At 48.5% G+C, this 24,150-nt stretch overlaps 1 protein-coding gene and 1 long non-coding RNA gene across 32 annotated transcripts in view, besides 4 other annotated features; one reads left to right on the plus strand and one right to left on the minus strand.

The window, feature by feature from the left end:
* Positions 1-431: 431 nt before the first annotated feature.
* On the minus strand, positions 432-3,544 carry LOC105378635 (uncharacterized). The gene is made up of 3 exons (XR_947163.2): positions 3,469-3,544; positions 2,747-2,875; positions 432-834 (listed from the first exon to the last, which is right to left on the minus strand). It is a non-coding gene; the product is annotated as an uncharacterized LOC105378635 (long non-coding RNA).
* Positions 3,663-3,922: a silencer, noted in NCBI's record as "silent region_615". NCBI's record gives its function as "represses an Ori minimal core promoter by ATAC-STARR-seq in GM12878 lymphoblastoid cells {active_cell/tissue: GM12878}" and the evidence as "EXISTENCE:reporter gene assay evidence [ECO:0000049][PMID:35858748]".
* AZIN2 (antizyme inhibitor 2) overlaps positions 3,701-24,150 on the plus strand; it is an 85,643-nt gene continuing 65,193 nt past the window's right edge. For 3 of the 31 annotated variants that reach the window (XM_047443457.1, NM_001293562.2, XM_047443473.1), the window contains exons 1-9: positions 3,701-3,842; positions 3,939-4,056; positions 4,726-4,902; positions 6,502-6,675; positions 14,598-14,770; positions 15,830-15,964; positions 17,096-17,261; positions 19,255-19,417; positions 20,615-20,727. In XM_047443457.1, the coding sequence (XP_047299413.1) occupies positions 4,798-4,902; positions 6,502-6,675; positions 14,598-14,770; positions 15,830-15,964; positions 17,096-17,261; positions 19,255-19,417; positions 20,615-20,727 (1,029 nt within the window). In that variant the 5' untranslated portion in view covers positions 3,701-3,842; positions 3,939-4,056; positions 4,726-4,797. Of the gene's footprint in view, positions 4,057-4,148; positions 4,361-4,725; positions 4,903-5,565; positions 5,691-6,501; positions 6,676-14,597; positions 14,771-15,792; positions 15,965-17,095; positions 17,262-19,254; positions 19,429-20,554; positions 20,728-24,150 lie in introns of those variants that run through there. The other 28 variants (XM_017000174.2, XM_047443450.1, XM_011540566.2 and 25 more) reach the window with 24 other exon arrangements.
* Positions 6,644-7,143: an enhancer, noted in NCBI's record as "H3K4me1 hESC enhancer chr1:33549697-33550196 (GRCh37/hg19 assembly coordinates)". NCBI's record gives its function as "activates a minimal SCP1, AML or CMV promoter by ChIP-STARR-seq in primed H9 embryonic stem cells {active_cell/tissue: H9 hESC(primed)}" and the evidence as "EXISTENCE:reporter gene assay evidence [ECO:0000049][PMID:30033119]".
* Positions 14,846-15,503: an enhancer, noted in NCBI's record as "H3K4me1 hESC enhancer chr1:33557899-33558556 (GRCh37/hg19 assembly coordinates)". NCBI's record gives its function as "activates a minimal SCP1, AML or CMV promoter by ChIP-STARR-seq in naive H9 embryonic stem cells {active_cell/tissue: H9 hESC(naive)}" and the evidence as "EXISTENCE:reporter gene assay evidence [ECO:0000049][PMID:30033119]".
* Positions 22,117-22,186: an enhancer, noted in NCBI's record as "active region_706". NCBI's record gives its function as "activates an Ori minimal core promoter by ATAC-STARR-seq in GM12878 lymphoblastoid cells {active_cell/tissue: GM12878}" and the evidence as "EXISTENCE:reporter gene assay evidence [ECO:0000049][PMID:35858748]".

Genomic DNA, 24,150 nt, shown 5'->3' on the forward strand with positions numbered 1-24,150 from the left:
TTAAATGGGGTCATTAGGATGGACCCTAATCCCATATGATAAGCATCCTTATTAAAAGGGGAAATTTGGACCCAGAGACAAACACATATAGAGGGAAGATCATATGAAGACACACAGGGAGAAGACGGCCATGTGACTGGAGTGATGCATTACGAGCCAAGGAACGCCAAGGATTGCCAGCTAACACCATAGGCTAGAAGAAGCAAGGAAAGATTCTCTCCTAGAGCCATCAGAGAGAACATGGCCCTGCCAACTCCTTGACTCCAGACTCCTAGCCTCCATAACTGGAGACAATACATTTCTGTTATTTTAAGCCACTCATTTTTGGTACTTTGTTATGGCATCCCTAAGAAATTAATACTGGTGGAATTTTGGGAAGCCTGAATAAAATGATGAACAGGAAAGTATTTTTCAAACTCTCCAGTTCTATGTACTAATAAGGCATTTTTATTATTGCAACGTTTGTGACTATGATTACTCTTGGTTTATGAAGAATAGATTGACTTGGCTGACATGATTCTGACTAGAGATCAGAAGATTTTTATCCTGCTTCTGCTCCATGTTCTTGAGGGCTCAGCACAGCAATCATAGATGCTACAACAGCAGTAGCATGAGAGACAAGCAGAAGAGAAGCTACCAGCTTTTGGGTTGGATGCTGGCAGGATGAGTGTGTAACTTTTGTTTAGCTGGGGCCAGAATTCTCAGCCACTGATTGGCAGTCAAGCATAAAGGTTAAAGGTCAGAATTGGCTTGTATTTAAATCTAGTCTTCACCTTTACTTGCTGTGTGATCCTGGGCAAGTTATTGAACTTTTCTGAGCTTTATATTCCTCATCTGTAAAATGAGAACAAATGTGGCTCCTGTGACATAGGGTTGTCATGGAGTTTCAATGACATCACATAACAAGCAGGGAAAAAAGAAAAAGCCACAGCCTATCTGTACTCAGTCCAGGGTGCAGATTTTTCTGCTCTGATTACTTACTCTTGATAGATTCCAAATGGACAGACTGGATTCTGGCTCGTTTCTTCTTACCTCTATTGATTCATTCAGTAAACATATTGAATGTACCTATTATGTGCCTACTAGGTGATGAAAAAAGCTGGTAGGGCAGACCCAGACCATGACATCCAAATGCAGACAGCTCAGAGAATGATTTAACTAAAAGTAGAGCCAAAGTTATTCGGGTGCTCCTCTCCTCTCAGTCTAATTTTTTTTTTTTTTTTGAGACAGAGTCTTGCTCTGTCACCCAGGCTGGAGTGCGGTGGCGTGATCTCGGCTCACCGCAAGCTCCGCCTCCCGGGTTCACGCCATTCTCCTGCCCCAGCCTCCCGAGTAGCTGGGACTACAGGCTCCCGCCACCGCACCTGGCTAATTTTTTTTTGTATTTTTAGTAGAGATGGGGTTTCACCATGTTAGCCAGGATGGTCTCGATCTCCTGACCTCGTGATCCTCCCATCTCAGCTAGGATTACAGGCGTGAGCCACCGCGCCTGGCCCTCTCAGTATAATCTTTTAGGGTTTCTGCCATGGCCGTCCTAATCTACCCTTCCTGATTGGTAGATACTTGTTCTCATACTATGTTGCAAATGACTATTAATCTCAAAGAAAGGTCCTGCAAATGACTGTCCTATAAAGCTGCCTCCTGAAATACTACTCCTATGCATAGAAAACAAGATGGTTCCAGGCAGAAGGGCCCAGAGAAATCAGTCTGAAACCTCTCAGTTCACAGGGGGAAATCAAGCCAGGCAGAAGTGACCCAGATCCAGTTAGGGTGACTCAGCCAAGGACACCCAGCAATTATATGTCCCAGCTGGGTAGGGAGCAGAAAATGGCTCTCCTGCTTCTGGTCCCTGCCCCACACCATTTGTGTACTGAGCATGTTCTAACTAGGTTGTGCAGTGTCCTAGGGAGATACTAAGGCGGGACAAGAAGTGCCTCTGATTTAAAAAAAAGTCTACAGCCCACTGGGCATGGTGGCTCACGCCTGTAATCCCAGCACTTTGGGAGGCTGAGGCAGGCAGATTGCTAGAGCTCAGGAGTTTGAGACTAGCCTGGGCAACAGGGCGAAACCCTGTCTCTACAAAAAATACAAAAATCAGCAAGGTATGGTAGCATGCACTTGTAGTCCCAGCTACTTGGGAGGCCGAGGTTGGAGGATCACTTGAGCCTGGGAGGTGGAGGTTGCAGTGAGCTGAGGTCATGTCACTGCACTCCAGCCTGGGTGACAGAGCCAGATCTTGTCTCAAAAGAGAAAAAAAAAAAAAAAAGCCCACAGCCTAGCAGGGGACATGAAGACATATGGTAGACCAAAAGCCCTTTGGCTTCATTGATTTGAAATGCTGCCTCCATTGTGTACCAATCTCCAATGTATATGGGACTGTTGTAGACCCTGTTCTGTTTTACCACTGTCTCTTCCTGCTCCAGCACCATACTGTTTTAAAGACTGTAGTTTTGGCCGGGCGCGGTGGCTCACGCCTATAATCCCAGCACTTTGGGAGGCCGGGGCGGGTAGATTACTGGAGGTCAGGAGTTCAAGACCACCCTGGCCAATATGGTGAAACCCCATCTCTACTGAAAATACAAAATTAGCTGTGCGTGGTGGCATGCGCCTATAATCCCAGTTACTTGGGAGGCTGAGGCAGGAGAATCGCTTGAACCCAGGAGGCAGAGGTTGCAGTGAGCTGAGATCGTGCCATTGCACTCCAGCCTGGGCAAAAAGAGTGTCTTGACTGTTCTTGTACACTTACTTTTCCAGATGAACTTTTATATCAGCTTTTGAGTAACACAGCTATTGAATCTTCCTCAGCATTCTTGTCTATGCCAGGCACCAGGCTCTTGAGCAGGGTATTCAGTCCTTGCCCTTGGGAAATCACAAACTAGATGCAAAGTGTAACCAAACAAGAAGTGTAAAATAACAACAGGAATCTCACGCTATGGGTAACAAGAACCAAATGAGTGAGGGGTCCAGACAGACTAAATGCTGTGTTCCTTGGGGCCAGGCAAGTCATGGAAGGTTCAACAGAGGTGACATTATACAGGACTTTGATGGGTGAGCAGCAGCTTTCGGTATAGAAGAAATGCTTTGAGTTGAGGAAGTCCGGGAAAGCTTCTTGGAGAAGGAGACACATTTCTATTGAGAGATGAGTAAGAGTTTGCCGGGTTCACAGGATGGGATAAAGGGAGGGATTGCCCTGAACTGGGAAAGTCACAAAAAGGTTCTCTGAAGACATTTTAGATGCGTTTTGAGTTGGAGTCGGGGAAGATGCCTGGAAGAGGCAATTAAATAAAAAGAATTTTATTACAAAAGTAATACAAGGACATGTCATTGGAACCGGGTTTCGAGAGATGAGTGAGCAGTTCCTGACGCAGACAAGAGCTGGACCACGAAGTAAGTTGAGGCAGAGGCAGAAAAGGCTTCCTGGTCCTGCCCACTCTCTAAGACCTAAGATGCAGGGTCTAAGTGTCTCACCTGCGTGGCGGCGGCCCTGTAGTTCTGACTTCCAGCGTGAGGTAGCCACCGCCAGGCCTCCGGGGGAGAAGACTACAGTAAGGGCGAGCAGAGCTGAATGCTTTATGTCGGAATCGACCAATGGGATGGCGGCACCCGGTTGCCAGGGCTACGGCCAAGCGGAGGTAGGGCCTCGGCACTATGGGCGGGGCCTGGGCGGGGTTATATAAGCCAGCGGCGGGCGGAAGGCGGGGCGTGGGGGTCTGTGGCTGCTGGGCTGGCGGGGCGCAGGCCGCGGGACCCGAGCCCGGGGAAGCGAGAGAGCGGAGGCGCCGAGGATCCGATTCACTCCCTGGGGAGACCTATGGGCCGAAGCCGTGTAAATGCGTTTTAAGGCGAGTGCGGAAAGTGGCCTGGGGAGCCTCGGGGAGCGGACGCCCTCCGCCCTGGTGCTGACCTGCCTCCCTGCCCCTTCTGCCTCCTGTCAGCAGAGGCCTCGGCTCCGCAACTGCCACTCCTCCTCGGGGTGTTGCACAAGTTTCGAGGTCACCGGCGACCCCCCCTAGCAGCGCGCCTGGCTCTGGCCCCCGCGAAGGAGGACGGAGTTTGGTAAGGGGCCCTGGGGGTTGGGGGGACCTCAGCCCTGCACTCTGTAGGAGTCACTCGGACAGAAAAAACCTCGGCCTTCCGTTCTCTCCCAGGAGCTTGCGGCCCCCACCCACCGCGTGGCGTCCCCAGGCACGCCTAGAATTCTAGCACCTCAGGATCAGTCCAGCCCCCATTTACAATTGGGGAAACTGCGGCTCCGAAAGGGTCAGAGGGTACCCGAGGTCAAGCAGTAGAGAGCGGACTCGAACTTAAGCTCTTGCTCTTAGGCTGAGACGCCTTGATGTGGCCACCGGCTACCCTCTAGGTGGGCGTGGTCAAGACTGGGGGCGCCCTGGAAACTTCCCCACCCAAGTTTCTCAGATTTTCTGTTCCATCTCTCTCTCACTCTTTCCTGAAATCCAGAATTTCAGAACTGGGAAGGCTCTCCAAAACAATTCATCCATTTTACAGAGGGAGCAACTGACTCGGAGAGGCAGTGACATTTGGGCATACGGTGCCTTGTCTCCGTCTGAAATCCGGGATTCTTGACTTTCTCCACCCTTGCCCAGTGAACCCCGGGCTTGTGCTGGGGGCGGGTTGTGACGGGATTGGGATCCCTGGCCTCGGGAGGCGAGTGGGGCAGCAGAGCCGGCCCCCCAGCGGTTCCCTTCATCTCCCCTCGCCCCGCAGTGTGTTGCATACTTTCTAAGGCGGCGGCTGCAGCAGCGGCTCCATCCAGCCCGTCAGCTCCTCCTGCAAGGCATGGCTGGCTACCTGAGTGAATCGGACTTTGTGATGGTGGAGGAGGGCTTCAGTACCCGAGACCTGCTGAAGGAACTCACTCTGGGGGCCTCACAGGCCACCACGGTGAGGGGCTGGGAATGGGGGTGGGTCCCCGGTCCCCTGTACAGATCAGCTGCCTCCTCAGGAAGGGTCCCTAGGGCCCTCATCTTATCCTTTCGCTTATTTGGTACGCAATCCTTGCTATTTGCAAGAGAGGGGCTCAATTTATCCCCAATTCTTTGTCCTTGCCCCCAAACCTGCCCCTCCTATGTTGCCTTTTTACCCAGCCCTCCAAGGTCAGAAACGGGGGATTCCTTTCCTGCTGCCCCCTCTCCCTCACCGCCCACATCTAGGCATTACCAAGCTCTGTGAATTCTGCCTCCTTAAATAAGCCTCCAGTGTGCTTATGTGGAACCTCGCTTTCTAGTTCAGTCTTCCTCTCTCCAAAGGCCCCCTGATCTCCCGGTCTCATGCCACCCCCTCCAAAGGTATCATAGTCCTGTTCAAAATCTGAATTTGGCAATTCTCCACTGCCTACAGGATCAAGTCAGAGCTTCCCTGCCTCCATAGCCCCATTCCCAGCTTTCCCCACAGTATATATTATGCTCCTTCGGAGCTGAATGACTCAATTTGCATTTCCCAATGATGCTGTGTGCCCAATGATGCTATTACCATGCCTTTGCCCAGGCTGTTCCTTCTGCCTGCAGCATCCTTCTCTCAGCCTCTCCCCTCTTTACCCCTTTCTAGTCATTCCTTGCTTCTCATCAGTGTTGCCTTTCCTGATCGCCCCAGGCAGATTTTCTATTTTCTTTCTCCATGCCCCTGCATTGCACCTTGTAGAAACTGCCATCTAACATCTGCTGAATGGACTTGTAAGTACTTAAGGGGTTCCTTTTCTTCCAGACCCAAGCTCCTTCAGAACAACAGTACTGTTTGGTCATCTCTGTCCCTTAGCATAACGTTTGGCACCAAGTGGGCATGAGTAAAAAAGTGTTGCATGAAAGGGAAACTGAGTCCCAGGGAAGCAACTCTGGAAGGGTCCCTTCCACATTTAAGTAATGTGGTCTCACCCACAGCCTCATACATGTTTGGCCTTTAGCACATCTACAATGAACAGTTGTCCATAGGGATAGGTTGCAGTGTCAGTGGGACTAGCTTAAGGCTTCATTGAGCACCTGTGTTTGGAAGGCAGTGAGCTGTAGGTCATAGCTTCTGCCTTTAGGGAGTTTACCCTTTTCTAGAATGGACAGATGCATATGCAGTTCTGATACCTTGGAAGCATATGCAAATGCAGTGGGAGCATTTAAAAGCAGAGTTGCCTTATTGGTTTGGGGAAGGTGGCATTTGAGTGAAACTTTAAGGATTTTGCCAGACACAGGAGTGGGGAGGGTATTCTGCAGGACATGGTGGGAACAAAGGTTTGAAGGTGGGAAAATGATCCAGCCTACAGCTGGAGTTTTAGCCGCATTGAGGGGAGGGATTGGGGCTAGATCAGAGCCTTGAATGCCAGGCTGAGGAGTTTGCCTTCTGCCCTGTAGGCTTGGGGAGGCCCAGAAAACTTAGCAGCAGGGTAGCTCTGTGGCCAGTACTGAACCTGGGTCAGGTACTTGGAAGGATCACGGATGGCATGCACAGGGTGCGAGCTGGATGGGGTCTCACATTCATCCACTTCTTGTCATTCAGGACGAGGTAGCTGCCTTCTTCGTGGCTGACCTGGGTGCCATAGTGAGGAAGCACTTTTGCTTTCTGAAGTGCCTGCCACGAGTCCGGCCCTTTTATGCTGTCAAGTGCAACAGCAGCCCAGGTGTGCTGAAGGTTCTGGCCCAGCTGGGGCTGGGCTTTAGCTGTGCCAACAAGGTGAGCCCTGCCCGCACGGTGCACTGACCCTCCATGCCCACTGAACACACACATGGCCAGGCTAGTCCAGGTGGGCTCTGGGGAGCAAGAGGTACCTGTAGTTGGTCCTTGCCCTCTGGGAAGACCACCCACTCAGGAGGGGTCTCAAGGGATGAGGGAGGGAGAAACGAGCATGGAATTTGTCAGCCTTGAAGTTCCAGATTGGAATCTTCTTTGTCCCTGGTAGAAAGCTCATCTTTTTAATGGAGATTTGCAAATTTGTTTGGCACAGAGCTATACATGATGTTCTTCTAATTAAAACAAAAGCGTCTCCATATTGTTGGTTTCTTTTCTTTTTCCTTTTATAATCATAATAATGTGTGGCGGTGCATTTTCTTAACTAGTCCTTGTAGTTTTGTTGTTGCCACCAATTCTGTCTTTCTAATTTGATTTCTGCTGTTGTCTTCATTCCCTCCTGCTCTCTTTAGATTTATTTTTTTCATTTTTTGAGATGGTGTCTTGCTCTGTCACCCAGGCTGGAGTGCAGTGTTGCCATCTTGGCTCACTGCAACCTTCGCCTCCCGGGTTCAAGTGATTCTCCTGCCCTCAGCCTCCCGAGTAGATGGGATTACAGGTGCACACCACCGTACCTGGCTAATTTTTTGGTATTTTCAGTAGAGACAGGATTTCAGCATGTTGGCCAGGTTGATCTCAAACTCCTGAACTCAGGTGATCCACCCGCCTCAGCCTCCTAAAGTGCTGGGTTTACAGCCGTGAGCCACCGCGCATAGCCACTTTAGATTAACTTTACTTATCTACTGTCATTCAGTATCTACTGAACTCCTACAGCGTGTAGTCACTGTGCTAGGCAGGGCTAGCAATACAGAATTGATAGACTGCTGTCCTTGAGTTGAATGCTTAGTTTATTTATTTCTATTCTGTCCTTGCTAGATAAAAGCATTTAAGCTATAAAGTTTCAACTAAGTAGAGCTGAAAGTATCTCATTTATTGATTCAGCAAATATTAATTGGGCATCTCTTCTGAGGCCAAGCATTATTCTAGGTGGGGATTTGGCAGTGAACAAAATAAAACAACAAAAGCCCTTCCTTCATGGAGCTTGTTTACAAAAAAAAAAAAAAAGATGAAATAAAGAAAATATTTAGTATTTTAGATGGAAAATGCTGTAGAGAGAAAGCAGGAAAGGGAAGTAAGGAATGTTGGGAGAGAGGATTGTACTTTTAGATAGTTTGGCCAGGGAATGGTTCACTGAGATTTGAATACAGACCCAAAAGAGCCAAGGGATCAAGCCAGGTAGATAACCAGGGAAAGGGCATTTCAGGCAGCAGGAACAGCAGGTGCAAAGGCCCTGAGGTGGGAGCAAGTCCAGTGGGCACTGCTTTGTGATATTGTCATTAGCACTATTTTCTTGGTGGTTAGTAATGGTTGCGTAATATGGCTGGATGTTGTGAGGAGAGTTCTAGAAAGGACTCCTGGAGTCCTGGGCAGGATGACAGGGCTGGAGCGACTCCAGGTTGGGGAGAGGTGTGCACTTGGCCGGGATGGTCAGAATGAGCAGGTTAACCTGTAGCAGGGACCGAATGTTAATGCCTTTCATGGTAGATGAGGTGCTTCCTCTTATCTTTGGGCTAGTTCATGCTTTGCACACCTCGTTTTGTGCATGTCTTCCACGAAGCTCTGTGAGGCACACAGTGGGAGAGACTGCCGTTCTACAGTTGAGGAAACCATGGGGTCAGCCATCTGTGGGTAGCAGAGCCAGGACGTCCTCGTTTCCCACTTCTTCCTGCGGTGCCCTGGGCCTCCACGTGGGATGAAAAGGAGCAGGATCCTTTCAGTCCCCGAGGTCTAGGGTGAAGAACAGGACCAAACCCCACTGCCTAGAGTTTTCTGCTTCAGGAACCCCAGGGGGAGGAGCTTGGTTCTGTAGAAGAAAGGGCAGAGTGAGGTGTTAAGGCTGAGAGAGACCTTGATGACAGCGGGGACTGGAGAAGCATCTGCCCTTTGCTGAGTGTGTCTGTTGTGTCAGGTACTTTGCCAAGTGTTTTCTGTACACGATCTCATTTTATTCTCACAACAGCCCTGTGAGGTAATTACTATTTTTTTTAATGGGGATTCTGACCGTAGCCTGGTGAGGACACATTTAACGTATAAGGAAATGAGAGATGGAGGTTCCGCATCAGGGTGGTGGCAGCTTGAGTCCTGCTGAGTTGCCTTGGACTCTGTTTTTTCCAAGGTGGCTGGGGAGAGGATGGCTGAGCTGGGATTCAGCCAGTGATGGATGCCCTCAGCCAACTGCAGGGGCGAGGAGAGACTTAAGCCCCCTCCCTGTGATGGGATCATGCAGACCCTTTGGTGCGCTTCTGGAGAGGTGGCTCCCCGACTTACAGCTTTTCTTGGAAGGCCAAGGCTGCCCTCTTCTGGTCGTCTGTAGTGGGTGGCCATGCTTAACAGCGTTGTGCCTTAGTGGACACTGACCAAGGGCCTGGCGTAAGCTAGGGCTGGATGTGCAGACAGACATGCGTTGGACGGGGGCCAGGGCCACAGCTTGCTCGGGGACTCTGGTCTACCCAGCCACCTGCCCGAGGACCACTGTATCATCTCTCCTGTCCCAATCGCTTGCCCTCTGTCTCCCTCAGCATCCTCCCATCTTAAAAAGCCTTTGCTGGGCAGCACATCCTCTTCCAGCCCAATCCCTTGCTCTCTTTTCGTGACCAAACTCAACCAAGTTGTCTGCACTTGCCTGTCTGCCCCCATTTTTTCTTTCCTTCAGTACTCCTTCCTTAAGCCATTGCTTCCCAGCCTCCACTTTCACTACTCCAAAGAATTTTCTCTTACCAACATCCCCAGTGAGCACTTACCAACATCCAGTGAGCACTTTACTTTAAACATGGATTGTGAACTAATAATACATGCAAATAACACATTGATTCATTCACCCCAAAAGAAACTAGGACATCAGCTTTATGTCTCCATAGATAATCACCAGGATGGTTTTGGTGGATATGTAGTATTTTTTTTTTTTTTTTGAGATAGAGTTTCGCTCTTGTTGCCCAGGCTGGAGTGCAGTGGCGCAATCTCGGCTCACCGCAACCTCCACCTCCCGGGTTCAAGTGATTCTCCTGCCTCAGCCTTCCGAGTAGCTGGGATTACAGGCATGTGCCACGATGCCCGGCTAATTTTGTATTTTTAATAGAGATGGGGTTTCTCCATGTTGGTCAGGCTGGTCTCGAACTCCCGACCTCAGGTGATCCACCCGCCTCGGCCTCCCAAAGTGCTGGGATTACGGGCATAAGCCACTGCACCCAGCCATATATATATATATTTTTTTTTGAGACAGAGTCTTGCTCTGTTGCCCAGGGTGGAGTGCAGTGGCGTGATCTCAGTTCACTGCAACCTCTGCCTCCCAGGTTCAAGCGATTCTCCTGCCTCAGCCTCCTGAGCAGCTGGGATTACAGGTGCCTACCACCATGCCCGGCTAATTTTTTGTTTCTTTAGTAGAGACAGGGTTTTACCATGTTGGCCAGGCTGGTCTTGAACTCCTGACCTCATGATTCACCTGCCTTGGCCTCCCAAAGTGCTGGGACTACAGGCATGAGCCACCACACCCGACTGGCAATGCATTCTTTAAAAAAAAAAAAGACTCAACAGTAACATATGGTCCTACTTTTAAAGGCTTCAGAAGTGTATAAGATGAAAGAGAACACTGCTTCGACCCCACCTCATCAGGCACTTCTTATAGCTGAGACAGCTCCTTCCTGTCCAGACACATGTCTCGCTGTGAGACGAGATTTGCATTTACAGGAATAGCTTTCTAATCTGCATATTGCTCTCCATCCCTTGGAAACGTTCTCCATCCTCACCTCTGCAGGTCCCGGGTACCATCTCTCCCCATCTTCTGCCACTCTCTAAATGGTAGCATTCTTCTGAATTCCTAGGCCTCCCTGTCTTGTAAACCCTCCTTCTTCTCAGAAGAAGGGTTATCTCCTCCCATGGCTTTAAATACCATCAATATGCCACTGCTTCCCACATTTTAATCTCCAGCTCAGACCTATATATCCAGTTGACTTGATACGAGGAGATGCCTGGAACCCGGCATGTTCAAATGTGCTCCTGATGTCCCCTTTCCCCGTCATGAAGGGCCCCCTCAGTCTGCTGGGTGTGGGAGTTCCCTCTGACGTCCTCGTCCTCATCACCACATGCAATCTATCACCCAGCTTGCCAGTCCCACCTCCAGAACACATCTCCCCACTTTTCTGGAGCTGGCTCTGTCATCTCCCCCAGGGCGATGGTGATAGCCACTGACTGTCACTGTCTATTCCCCCAGAATCCCCTTGGGCCCTCCTTCAGGTAGCCAGATAGACATGTAGACCTTATATTTAAAATGCAAATCTGACCATGTCGTTTCCCTTCCTAACCCTTTAGACTCTTTCCCATCACATGCAGGGTAAAACATGTTTCCTTGGCAGCTCTGCCCCTCTCCCTCTGACCTCATCGTCCTCACTGCACTAACTTGCTCTTCTTGAGCCACTGCAGCATTCTCTGTTCCTTGATCAGGCTGAAGTGCTCAGCACTGCTTGCCTCAGAACCTCTGCACAGACCACTTCCTCTACTGGAAAGATTCTTAGATTCTTTCCTTCCCTCTTGGCCTGGCTGAGGCCTCCTGCAGGGCTCAGTTTAAATATCTAACCCTGAAGTTGTCCTTTGCCTCTCACACCCAGGTCTCTTGCAGCACGTACTTTTTCTTCCCAGCTCTTAACCACTTGTAATTCCATCATTATTCAGCGCTCATTTGGGACTGCCCTGCCTATCTTTCCCACCAACCTGAAAGCTCCATGGTCTCAGAGACCCTATGTGCTTTAGTCACCACTTGTTTTATTAACACCTATCACAGAGCCTGGCAACTCAATAGATGCTCAAAAATACCCGTCAGTGCAGCATTGAGGTTGCATTCCCCATTACAGCAGTGAGGTTAAGAGCTGGTGTGCTAAGGTCTGACAGTTAGAATCCCATCTGTGCCACTTAGAAGCTGTGTGATTTTGGACAAATCACTTAGCATCCCTGAGCCTCTGTTCCCCACCTTATAAGATTATTAGTAAGGTTAAATGAGAATGTATATAAAATACTTAATGCAGTGACTGGCATAGGATATGCCTTCAATGAATGACAACACTTATTTAAATATTTATAATTAGGCTGAGTGCCTTGGCTCACAGCTGTAATCCCAGCACTCTGGGAGGCCAAGGCAGGAGGACTGCTTGAGCCCAGGAGTTCGAAACCAGCCTGGGCAATGTAGTGAGACCCTGTCTCTAATTAAAAAATATATATATTTAAAAAAAAATTATAATCAAAGCTCAATCACAGGTCCCCAAAGTGCTAAAGTGCTAACACTGCTTCTTCCTCTCACCTCACGTGGTGAGGCAGGGAACAAAAACACAGGTCCACATCCACTCAGATTCGGGGTAGGCCACATCTGCCCCTGGGAAGCAAGCTGTGGTGGCAGCAAGCCCAGCTCTGGAGCTTGACCTTTGTGTCCCATTCTGCTACTGGTTGGCTGTGTCACCACAGACAGGTGGACCTCACTGAACTCAATTTTGTCCTCCATAAAATGTAGCCAGTAAATATTTCATAGCATAGTCATTGGGATTAAATGAAATAATGCTTATAAATATCTAGTGCTGAAAAGTTGCTAAATTAAAATTAGACTCTTATTACAAAATCAGGATGGCTAAAAATGACTCTTATGCCTCTCACCATGTTTCAAAACTGGCTCTCTCTTCTCTTGTTTATTCGTGGAGAGTCAGACTTGAGTTCGAAAGTTCGTTCTGCCACCTATTTTCTGCGTAGCCCTTCTGAGCATCAGTTTCCTTCTCTGTAGATTGGAGCTAATACCCATCTGAATGGGTTATTGGCAAGGACTGAATAAAAGGGTGAATCCAAAGTAGGGGTTGGCAAACTACGGATGGAAGGCCAAATCCAGTCCACCACCTAATTTTATGAAGTTTTATTGACTCACAGCCACATTCATTCAATTATGCTTTGGCTGTGGCTGTTCTGGTGCTACAAAGGCAGTTGAGAAGTTGTGACAGAGACTGTGTGGCTCGCAAAACCTAAAATATTTATTCTGGTTCTTTATAGAAAAAGTATGCTAACACCCGATGTAAACCATCTAATTCAGGGCCTGCTTGTGGTAGGTGCTGAATGAACACAGTTGCTGTCGTCATCATCATCATCATCATTTGTTCATATCATTAATGCAGCAATCAGGTGCCCACAGGTTCTAGAGTAAAGGGGATGAAGAGGAGGCCCCAAGAGGAGCAGGGCTGAGCCCGCACACCCTGCACACCCAGTGCAGGGCCGTGCACAGAGTAGGCCTTTGGAGTGGGGTGATCTCTGTCCAAAAGATCCTTGGTCTGGTGGACTTTCTAATACACCAGCAGTGCTTTTGTTATTTATTAAGCTGACAAATAAAAATTGTATATATTTATGGTGTACAACATGATGTTTTGATATATGTATACGTTGTGGAATGGTTAACAAGCTAATTAGGCATTAACTCACATACTTACCTTTTTTTGTGGTGAGAACCCCTAAGGTCTATTCTTTAGCAATTTCCAAGTGTACCATATATTGTTATTAACTATAGTCACCATGATGTACATTAGATCTCTTGAACTTAATTCTCCTGACTAAAACTTTGTATCCTTTGACCAACTTCTTCCCACTGCCCCCTCGCCATTGACCCGAGCCCTTGGCAACCACCATTCTATGCTGCTTCTCTGAGTTTGACATTTTTAGATTCCACATATAAGTGAGATCATGCATGTTTGTCTTTCTGTGCCTGGCTTATTTCACTTAACATGATGTCCTTCAGGCTCATCCATGTTGCTGCAAATGACAGGATTTCCTGCATTTTTAAGGTTGAATAATATTCCATTGTGTATGTGGACCACATTTTCTTTATCTGTTCATCTGTGATGGACACTTAGGTGGCTTGCGTATCTTGGCGATTGTGGATAATGCTGCACTGAACATGGGAGTGCAGATATCTCTTTTACATATTGACTTCCTTTCCTTTGGATGTATACCCAGTATTGGATTGCTGGATCATATGGTAGTTGGTAGTTCTATTTTTTGAGATGGAGTCTGGCTCTGTCACCCAGGCTAGAGTGCAGTGATGTGATCTCGGCTCACTCCAGCCTCCGCCTCCTGGGTTCAAGTGAGTCTCCTGCCTCAGCCTCCTGAGTAGCTGGAACTACAGGCATGTACTACCAAGCCTGGCTAATTTTTGTATTTTTGGTAGAGATGGGGTTTTGCCATGTTTCCCAGGCTGGTCTCAAGCTCCTGGCCTCAAGTGATCTGCCCACCTCAGCCTCCCAAAGTGTTGGGGTTACAGGCGTGAGCCACTGCGCCCTGTCCTATTTTCAGTTTTTTTTTTGAGGAACCTCCATACTGTTTTCCAAGTAATATTTAAACATTTAAATTTGCCAGGAAAATGTGTCAGAAGCCTGTTGTCAGGGCTACCATGAGTCCATATAATGCCTTTGTGTAAATTAGAAAATGTACCCTTTCCTTAAGACAATTAATTGTTATAATAAATATACTGATTTTCTTAGAATGAGATGCTTTACTGCCAGGAAGTTTTAATAAATATACAAATCTACTCTGTATTCATTCTGAATGGGAACTCCCCACCCCCAGGATTGTTCAGTGTACCACCCGCATGGCTGTACATGGCAGCCCTGCTTATCAAAGAATGGTGAATCCATGTAAGTCCTGATATCTATGTATCTGTTGTCTTAGAGCAAGGCCCACTGTTATGGGCCTCCCTATGCATAGCTATGACTTTGCCCTCATCTGTGCTTCCTTGGGCTCCGTGGGCTAGCAGGCCCTGGTGCCTCCTTACAACCACCTTTGGGGCCCCATAGGCAGAGATGGAGTTGGTCCAGCATATTGGAATCCCTGCCAGTAAGATCATCTGCGCCAACCCCTGTAAGCAAATTGCACAGATCAAATATGCTGCCAAGCATGGGATCCAGCTGCTGAGCTTTGACAATGAGATGGAGCTGGCAAAGGTGGTAAAGAGCCACCCCAGTGCCAAGTAAGCTGAGAACCACTCATGGGGAGGCTGGGCTGTGGGGAGCCTGGGCTGTGGGGAGCCTGGGCTGTGGGGAGGCTGGGCTGTGGGGAGGCTGGGCTGAGGGAAGGCTGGGCTTCAGAGTGAAGGGGGGGGTGGGGTGAGGGGGTGGAGCTGGGGCAGGTCACCCTGTCCTGGACCCAGCCACAGTTGCAGGAGGTTGGGGCAGGTACTCCTGGACTGAACCCAGGATGCTAGGGTCTAGCTAGAACAAAGGCAGAAATAACTGGTTAAAGCCCTAGGCAGAGTGAGACCCATGTGTTATGGAGGCCAAAGTCACAGGCTTGAGAGAGTCGAGGGAGTGGTCAGGAAGGCTCCACGGAGGAAGTGGCATTTGAAGCAGGCCTTGAGGAATGAATAGAATTTGGAGGGGGCATAAATAGTGAACTGCGTAAGCAAATGCATTGAGGTTGGAAACAGCATGGGACATTCAAGCGTAAGCAGAAACTTAGTGTGGCTGACGCATGCTATGTGTAGGGGGTGAAGGAGATCCTGGTCGGGGGCGGGGAGCCGATGCAAATGGACTTTCGAAGGGGTCAGGGCTGGACGTTTTGCTCTGGCTGTGCCTTTTACATGATTACTGGACACCCTTGGACTTCCCAGGAGGGGCCTTGGGGTGAAGGGGGTGGCCAGGTGATGGGCCACTCCAGTCCATCCAAAGCAGCTTCCATCGTATTAATGGGTTCTCCTTAAGGCTTTGTTTAAAAATGGTTCCTCTCATACACGACAAGTTTGAAAGCTCTAACTGGTGTGGAGACTGATTTGGAGGGACTGGAGCTGCCCCAGGAGAGTTGGTGAGGTCTGGACCAGGGCGCAGGGGCTGCAGGAATGGGTCAGGGACATTTAGAGAATGGATTGGACAGGACTTGAAGGTTGATTGGCTGTGTAGGGAGAGGGAGGGGTCAGGGAGCCTGTGGGGTTGGGTGGCTCTGAGCCATGTAGCTCACAGCCCTTGATTGAGAGATGTGGCTGGGGTGGGGCGACAGGGTTTGTCCAGCAGAGGGGCACTGCGTGTCTCATCAGGATGGTTCTGTGCATTGCTACCGATGACTCCCACTCCCTGAGCTGCCTGAGCCTAAAGTTTGGAGTGTCACTGAAATCCTGCAGACACCTGCTTGAAAATGCGAAGAAGCACCATGTGGAGGTGGTGGGTGTGAGGTGAGCACTGGGAACCCCTGCCATCCCCTCCCACACCAGGCTCCCTGCCTCTTTCCCAGGAATTAATTCTATATGAGACCTTCCCCAGGGCCTCTGAGTAGGGCCTGTCCCTGGGCCTGGAATTCTTCCATTTGAGAATTTCCTCTGTTTGAAAAGGAAGTTTAGAAGGGTCCCTTCCCCAGTCCCAGGGTCCCCAGAAGGTCTTGTCCCAGGAAGTTCCATCCAGAGACCTGGCTTTGAGGGAGTCTTACCAGCCTGTAGGACAAAGGTTTTGCAGCTACACTCTTGAGGGGCCTCTTTTCTTTTCTTTCTTTCTTTTTTTTTTTTTTTTTGAGATAGGGTCTCACTCTGTCACCTAGGCTGGAGTGCAGTGGCATGATCATGGTTTTCTGCAGCCTTGAGCTCCCAGGCTCAAGCAATTCTCTCTCCCGCCTCAGCCTCCCAAGTAGCTGTGACCACAGGCGTGCATTACCACACCTGACTAATTTTTATTTGTTGTAGAGATGGGGTCTCACTTTATTGCTCAAGCTGGTCTCAAAGTCTTGGGCTCAAGCAATCCTTTTGCCTTGGCCTCCCAAAGTGCTGGGATTACAGGTGTGAGCCACTGCACCCAGCTGTGTGCCTCTTTTCTTACAGGGATATGGAAGGAGTAATAATGAACTACCTAATGAACAATGAACTACCTAATATAGGGCTTCATTTATTCTGTACTTAGGTGTGCCAGGTGCTGTGCTAAGTGCTTCATGCACATTCTCTCAGCCTTGTGTGGTGTGGGTCTTGTCCCCGCATTATAGGTGGGGAAACTAAAACAAAGCTGAGTAAGCTGCCAAGGCCACCCTGCTGACTGGGAGGCACAGCCAGATCTGGTTGACTTGGGGGTCCTGGCTCTCATCCCAGAAGGAGGGATGGGAGGAGCACCAAGTGCCAGGAGCCCTTGGATCAAGCCTCCTGTCCACTTCTCCCTTGCCATATGGCCCTTGGCAACCCATTGAACATTTCAGGACCTTGGTCACTGCATCTGTAAAATGGGCACAGTGTCTCATGTGCCTGCCCAATGTCATTCTTGGCTGGGGCTCAGGTGGTGGCACTTGGAGCCCTGCATGTCAGCCGAGGCTCTTCCTCTCTTCCCAGTTTTCACATTGGCAGTGGCTGTCCTGACCCTCAGGCCTATGCTCAGTCCATCGCAGACGCCCGGCTCGTGTTTGAAATGGGCACCGAGCTGGGTCACAAGATGCACGTTCTGGACCTTGGTGGTGGCTTCCCTGGCACAGAAGGGGCCAAAGTGAGATTTGAAGAGGTAACCCTGGAGCTGGGAGTGTCATGCTGGGCTCTATGGCGGGGAGGATAGGGAGGGATTAGATGATCGGAGGGAGACCACCGTGCGTGGGTCCTATGCACTGCATGCAGTGCTTGGTGCTTACCTGGGTGATCTCACTGCTTATTAACCCTGTGCTACAGCTGAGCAAGCCAAGGCTCACAGAGGTTACATTGCTTCCTGAGCCCAAAGCAGAACCTGGTTCTGCCTGCCATGCACTTCAGCCAATTGGAGGCATAACCAGGACACATTTACATAAGTCGTAAGGCTCTTTAAGGGGCGGGATAGGCCTCTTCACCCTAAGGTGGGCTGATGAGATATCGGGTGGGGAGGCAGGGAAACGAAAACCAACCTTTGGTCTGCTGCCTGTCCATTCTCTTCCTCTATTCCCTTTTCCTTACCCACTGTGAGGTGAAGTTAAGAAAAATGTGTCCTAGCAGTTCCCACTCCAACCACTAGAGGTCGCCTCTTCTTGGAAGGCGCCTCCTTCGGGAATACCGACATGTAGGAATTGACCTTACAGAAATGATTTGGGATAGTCTCAAAGAATTTGCCTCAAAGATGACTGTTCTAGCTTTGTTCCTAACAGAAGTCCAGTGGACTTCCCTGGTCCATCTAATACTCAGGATTTGTTAAATTATGGTACATCCTTTTGATGAAAACACTTCCTTAATGTGGGGAGGTCGTTCACAGTCTATTAAGTAAAACAGGTTCCAAAAACATATACAGAGACCTACCATGGTTATAATAAAAAATAGCGTTTGTATAAAAAATAATTAAAGACACTACTCCAAAAAGTTAACAATAATTAGATTCATCTAGTTGATAGACTTTGGAGTGACTTTTATCTTCTTTTTCCTTTTCTGTATTTTCTGAATTTTCTGTAATCAAGTATATTACAGTTGACCTTTGAACAACGCAGAGCTTAGGAGCACCGACCCCCTACACACTACAAAATCTGCATATAACTTTTGATTCCCCTAAAACTTAGCTACTATAGCCTACTGTTGACAAGAAGCCTTGCTGATAACATAAACAGCCGATTAACAGATATTTTATGTGTGATATGTATTATATACTGTATTCTTACAATAAAGTAAGCTAGAGGAAATAATTTTTTTTTTGAGACAGAGTCTCACTCTATCACCCAGGCGTGAGTGCAGTGGCACAATCTTGGCTCACTGCAACCTCCGTCTCCTGGGTTCAAGAGATTCTCGTGTCTCAGCCTCCCAAGTAGCTAGGATTACAGGTGCAAGCCACCATGCTCAGCTATTTTTTGTATTTTTAGTAGAGACGGGGTTTCACCATGTTGGCCAGGCTGGTCTCGAATTCCTGACCTCAAGTGATCTGCCCACTTCAGCCTCCCAAAGTTCTGGGATTACAGGCATGAGCCACCATGCCTGGCCAGAAATAAAATATTATTAAGAAAATTATAAGGAAGGGAAAATGTATTTACTATTCATTAAGTGGAAGTGGATCATCATAAAGGTCTTTGTCCTCATTGTCTTCAAGTTGAGAAAGCTGTGGAGGAGGAGCAGGAAGAGGAGGGCTTGGTCTTGCTGTCTCAGGGTGGCAGAGGCAGAAGAAAATCCATGCATAAGTGGACCCACACGGTTCAAACCTGTGTTGTTTAAGGGTCAACTGTATTTAACAAACTGGTTATTTATGAAAGAAAGATCCACATCAGGGCTTCTGGAATCTGAGTACCAAGTGTGATATGAAGAGGACTCCTTCCCATTGTGGGGCCATGGAGGAGGGTGATTTACACAAGCACGAGGCTCTCTACCCAGCTCTGTCCCCCTCCTACCTTCTTGGCCAGCTGTCCACAGTTATCAGCTGGGGCCTTAGCAGCTGCCAAATCCTTCTTCCGGAAATCAAAGCAGCTTTCAAGAAATAGACTTGGAGCTGTAGCAAGTCTTCAGCATAAAGCCCACATTTCAAACACATAATTGTCTCCCCATTCTCCTCCTACCAGATTGCTTCCGTGATCAACTCAGCCTTGGACCTGTACTTCCCAGAGGGCTGTGGCGTGGACATCTTTGCTGAGCTGGGGCGCTACTACGTGACCTCGGCCTTCACTGTGGCAGTCAGCATCATTGCCAAGAAGGAGGTTCTGCTAGACCAGCCTGGCAGGGAGGGTAGGTGCCAGGTGGGCAGTGGAGCCCTGTTCTCCCCTGAAGCTTCAGATAGTGGTTGGCTGAGCAGGATCTGGTTTTAGACCCAGTGGCAGAGGATGGGGGAATCTGGAGAATGAATGGGTTCTTGCTTTAGGGAAACTTTCAGTCAAGTCGCCCCACCCCAAGACATTTATTTAGCATCTTTTTTCCTAGGCATGTTCATATTTTGTGAAGATTGAGAGCAAAACAACCTTAGAGAGAATAGATACTCTGTTGACCCCATTTTACAGATGAGGAAACCGAGAACCAAAGAGAATACAAGTGAACTGCTTAATAGCTAGTAAGAGCCTGCATTTGACCCCATGTCTGTCTCCTCTCCAAAATACAGGCTCCTACTCACCCTACTGCTTCTCATAATATAATGAAAATAATTAATGACAGCTTACATTTGTTTGAGTCCACTTTACAGATGACAACATAGGCAGGGGGAGGCTGAGTCATTAGCCCAAGGTCACATGGCTGATAAGGGGCAGTGTGGGGATTCAAGTTCAGGTTAGGCTGACTCAGCGCTTCTGGGCCCACATCACCAACATCAGTGCTCTTCCCTCCCCTTCCAGATAGGTCAGGGATAGCAGCCTGTGAGTGACAGGTGTCAGGGACTCTGATCTTGAGGCTTGCCCTCTGCTCTGGGACCCTCATGCAGGGGAGCCTCAGGACTGTGCGCTTTTCCCCAGAGAGAATTCATGTGAAGGGTGGTGGGCTCCAGGTAGAATGTCCTGTGTTCGTGTGTGGCATTCTTCTGGCTTCCTTTATAGACCTGGGGGATTGTCCCGTCTGATCCAATCAAGAGACCTGGCTTCTCATTCTGGCTCATCCACTGCCCTATCATGTGCCTCTGAGCAAGTGGCTTAACCTTTTGGGGTCTTGAGTTTGGGTGGGCTGCTCTTCTGCCTTTGCTGGGGCACCTAGGGGCTCAGATGCAAGCAGGGGAGTGCATCCTGGGCAGGTTGCTTGGCTGCAGGGGTGAGTGTTCCTAACACGGCAGTGAACCCATGTCATTGGAAGGATGGCTGCTGATGGCTTTTGTTGTAGGCCTCGCCTCATGGTTGAGGAATGGGTAGCCATTTTGCTTCCTTACTGAGCCCACTGTTGTGTCAGCCCCACTACCACCCCCTCACATTGCTACTTGTGCTGCCTCTGAACCCTCCCCTCCTGCAGAGGAAAATGGTTCCACCTCCAAGACCATCGTGTACCACCTTGATGAGGGCGTGTATGGGATCTTCAACTCAGTCCTGTTTGACAACATCTGCCCTACCCCCATCCTGCAGAAGGTGAGCTTACCCCACGTGGGCCTGTTTTCAGTTGTGTGTGTGTATTTCAATAACATTTGTTGTGTTTTTATCTAATTTTTAAAAAGTCAAACATATTTATTGTCGATAATAGACAACAAGGATGACGAAGGTTATCACCCATAATCCCACCACACTCTTTGAGCATTACATATTTTAAAAAATGCCTTATACTTTTTTCATGACATTGGAATCATATTGTTTTGTAACCTGCTTTTTCCATTTATATGGGGTGTAGCTCTTTCCATGCCATTAACTGATCTTTGACAACATGCTTTTGTATTTTAACCAATCTAACTCTAGTGGTTGGCTATTTGGTTTCCTCTTTTTGAGCACTGTGAATATATGTTGAGGTTTCAGCTCTGTGGTAAATTCCTGGAAGTAGAAACAGTTCATATACAGTGGGTTTTTCTGTAATAACAGGGGAACAGGAATACATAAAACATTCCTCCTAGCCTGTGGAACCCAGCCCAGGGCCTCCAGCAATTTTAATGGGCATCTTTGAGAGGATAAAGAAAACCAGACATCATTTTATCTTCCCCTCTCCATTGTGTCTTCCTATCTCTCTCTCTCTTTTTTTTTTTGAGATGGAGTCTTACTCCGTCAACCAGGCTGGAGTGCAGTGGTGTGATCTCGGCTCACTGCAACCTCCACCTCCTGAGTTCAAGTGATTCTCCTGCCTCAGCCTCCCGAGTAGGTGGGACTATAGGCACCCGCCACCATGCCTGGCTAATTTTTGTATTTTTAGTAGAGGCGGGGTTTCAACCATGTTGTCCAGGCTGGTCTCTAACCCTTGACCTCAAATCATCCACCAACTTTGGCCTCCCAAAGTGCTGGGATTACAGGCACGAGCCACCATGCCTGGCCTCTTCCCATCTCTTGACCTTTGTGCAGCCCCTCTTCCTGGAAAGAAACTTTCCTTGCATGCCTTGAAGTGCCTAACTAGCACTCATTATGTTTTTCCTTCCCTTCCCAACCTATCCAGTTTTTCAAAAGTCAGTCAGAGGGGTCTTGAAAATCAACTCCACTTTGTGGCTCTTCCTGCCCCTTATCCCTGTGCTGGCCTAGGGAACCCCTCTCTCCCTCCCTCCTTCCTCCAGGTACCCAGGCACCCTAGATGTGCTTGATGGAGCCTCACTCCATGGTTAAATGTGGTTACATCTGCTGGTCAGAGTAGGCCTCCCCAAGGTGCTGAGGAATGCTGAGCTCTCTACTCTGACGCACTAGCATTGCCTGCATTCTTGTGGTAGCCCACATCCTACTGCACTGAGAAGGGACCAGGCCAGCCAGCTTACAGAGCGGGCAGCTGTTGAGTCCCCGTTACTCTGCCTCTCCAGTACTCGTCTTCCTGTTGCATGCTGGCTCTCACCCACTCCACTCCCTTCATTGGCTCCTCAGAAGAGGAGATGATGGTCCCAGCCCACTGCCACGCCCCCCACCGGGATCTTTGCTTTGGCTGATCTCTAGTTGGCATTCCTGACTTGGGCACTGGGATGTTTGACTCTCTTTGTGGTCTGTGCTGTTCCTCCCCTGAACGATGCTGCGGTTTCTTCCTTTAGGCTCTTAACTGCTTTTCAAGTTTGGCCACGTGAGCGCCTCCAGAGTGGGGCCCACAGCCTGGCGGTGGAATAAGACATTGCATAGATGACAATACACATAATAAGTTAACTCCTGTGGTGCTGGGAGTGTGTGTCAGAGGGATTCAGCCTGGCTGGGGGTATCCGTACCTTCTTTCCCAAAGAAGGTCCCCTTACAAGTATTAGTTTTGGCATCTTTCTTTGCATACCTGCTCTTCCTTCCCAGGGACTTTGTGTTTAGACCTGGGTATAAAAAGTTGTATGAGGCCAGGCGTGGTGGCTCAAGCCTGTAATCTCAGCACTTTGGGAGGCAGAGGTGGTTGGATACCTGAAGTCAGGAGTTCGAGACCAGTCTAGCCAACATGGTGAAACCCTGTCTCTACTAAAAATCCAAAAATTAGCCGGGCATGATGGCACATGCCTGTGATCGCAGCTACTTGGGAGGCTAAGGCAGGAGAGTAACCTGAGCCTGGGAGGCGGAGGTTGCAGTGATCCAAGACTGTGCCATTGCACTCCAGCCTGGGCGACAGAGTAAGACTCTGTCTCAAAAAAAAAAAAAAGAAAGAAAAGAAAAAAAGTTGTATGAAACATAATCCTTGGCTCAAGATATACTTCTTATTGCACCATGCTTGGCCCTTTTTTGTGTGTTTCTTTTTGGTTTTTATTTTTATAAATTCAGCAAATAATTCAGTACTCTCAAAGCAGTACTCTCAATACTCAAAGCACCGTGCTGAGGTCTGCAGAGGAATTGTCTGTGCTTTGGAAGTACAGTCCTGTTGGATAGAAACACGTGTGTGTGTGTGTGTGTGTGTGTGATTAGTATACAAGCTACAACCATGTATGAGAAAAGTACAGAACAAATATTATTGGAGCTTTTAAAACATATTTTAGTACTGTACATGTTTCTAAAAAATAAGGAACTTAAAAAATCACAATTCCATTATCAAATTAAAAAATGAATAATTCCATAGTATCCCCCATCATCGGTGTTGAGCTATCCCCAACTGTCTCATAATGGTTTTTATATTAACTTGCTGAAATCAGGAGGCAAAGAAGGTCTGCATGGTGCATTTGGTTGCCATCTCTCTCTCTCTCTTTTTTTTTTGAGACAGAGTCTCACTCTGTTGCCTAGGCTAGAGTTCAGTGGTGTGATCTCGGCTCACTGCAACCTCTGCCTCCTAGGTTCAAGCTTCTCTCCTGCCTCAGCCTCCCGAGTAGCTGGGATTACAGGTGTGTGCCACCATGCCTGGCTAATTTTTGTATTTTTAGTAGAGATGAGGTTTTGCCATGCTGGCCAGGCTGGTCTCAAACTCCTGACCTCAAGTGATCCATCTGGCTCGGCCTCCCAAAGTGCTGGGATTACAGGTGTGAGCCACTGGGCCCGGCACCATGTCTCTCTCTTAACCCATTGGTTTCCCCATACTCTTTTCTTCTTTTTCTTTTTTGTAGAGATGCAATCTCCCTGTGTTGTCTAGGCGGGTTGAGAACTCCCAGCCCCAAGCGATTGTCCAGCCTCAGCCTCCCAAAGTGCTGGGATTACAGGCATGAACCACTGTGCCTGGCCCCCACCCTCTTTTTAAGTCTGTTTTGTTTGTTTGTTTTCTTTGGTAATTTTAAACTGAGTTGTTTTTCCTGTGGAGTTTCCTGCATTCTTGATTTTCCTGATTGGTGAATTTCCTGAATTTCCCTTTGGTGCTTTTGAACATGTTTCTCTGCCTGGTATTTTTTTTTTTTTTTTTGAAATTAGGTAGATTTAGAGGTTTGAATAGCATCTCAATCAGCTTTGGAATAAAAATACTCCATGGGAGATCTTGTCTTTGTTTTCCTT

The sequence above is a fragment of the Homo sapiens genome, chromosome 1 (genome assembly GCF_000001405.40).
Source record: "Homo sapiens chromosome 1, GRCh38.p14 Primary Assembly".
Lineage (NCBI taxonomy): Eukaryota > Metazoa > Chordata > Mammalia > Primates > Hominidae > Homo > Homo sapiens.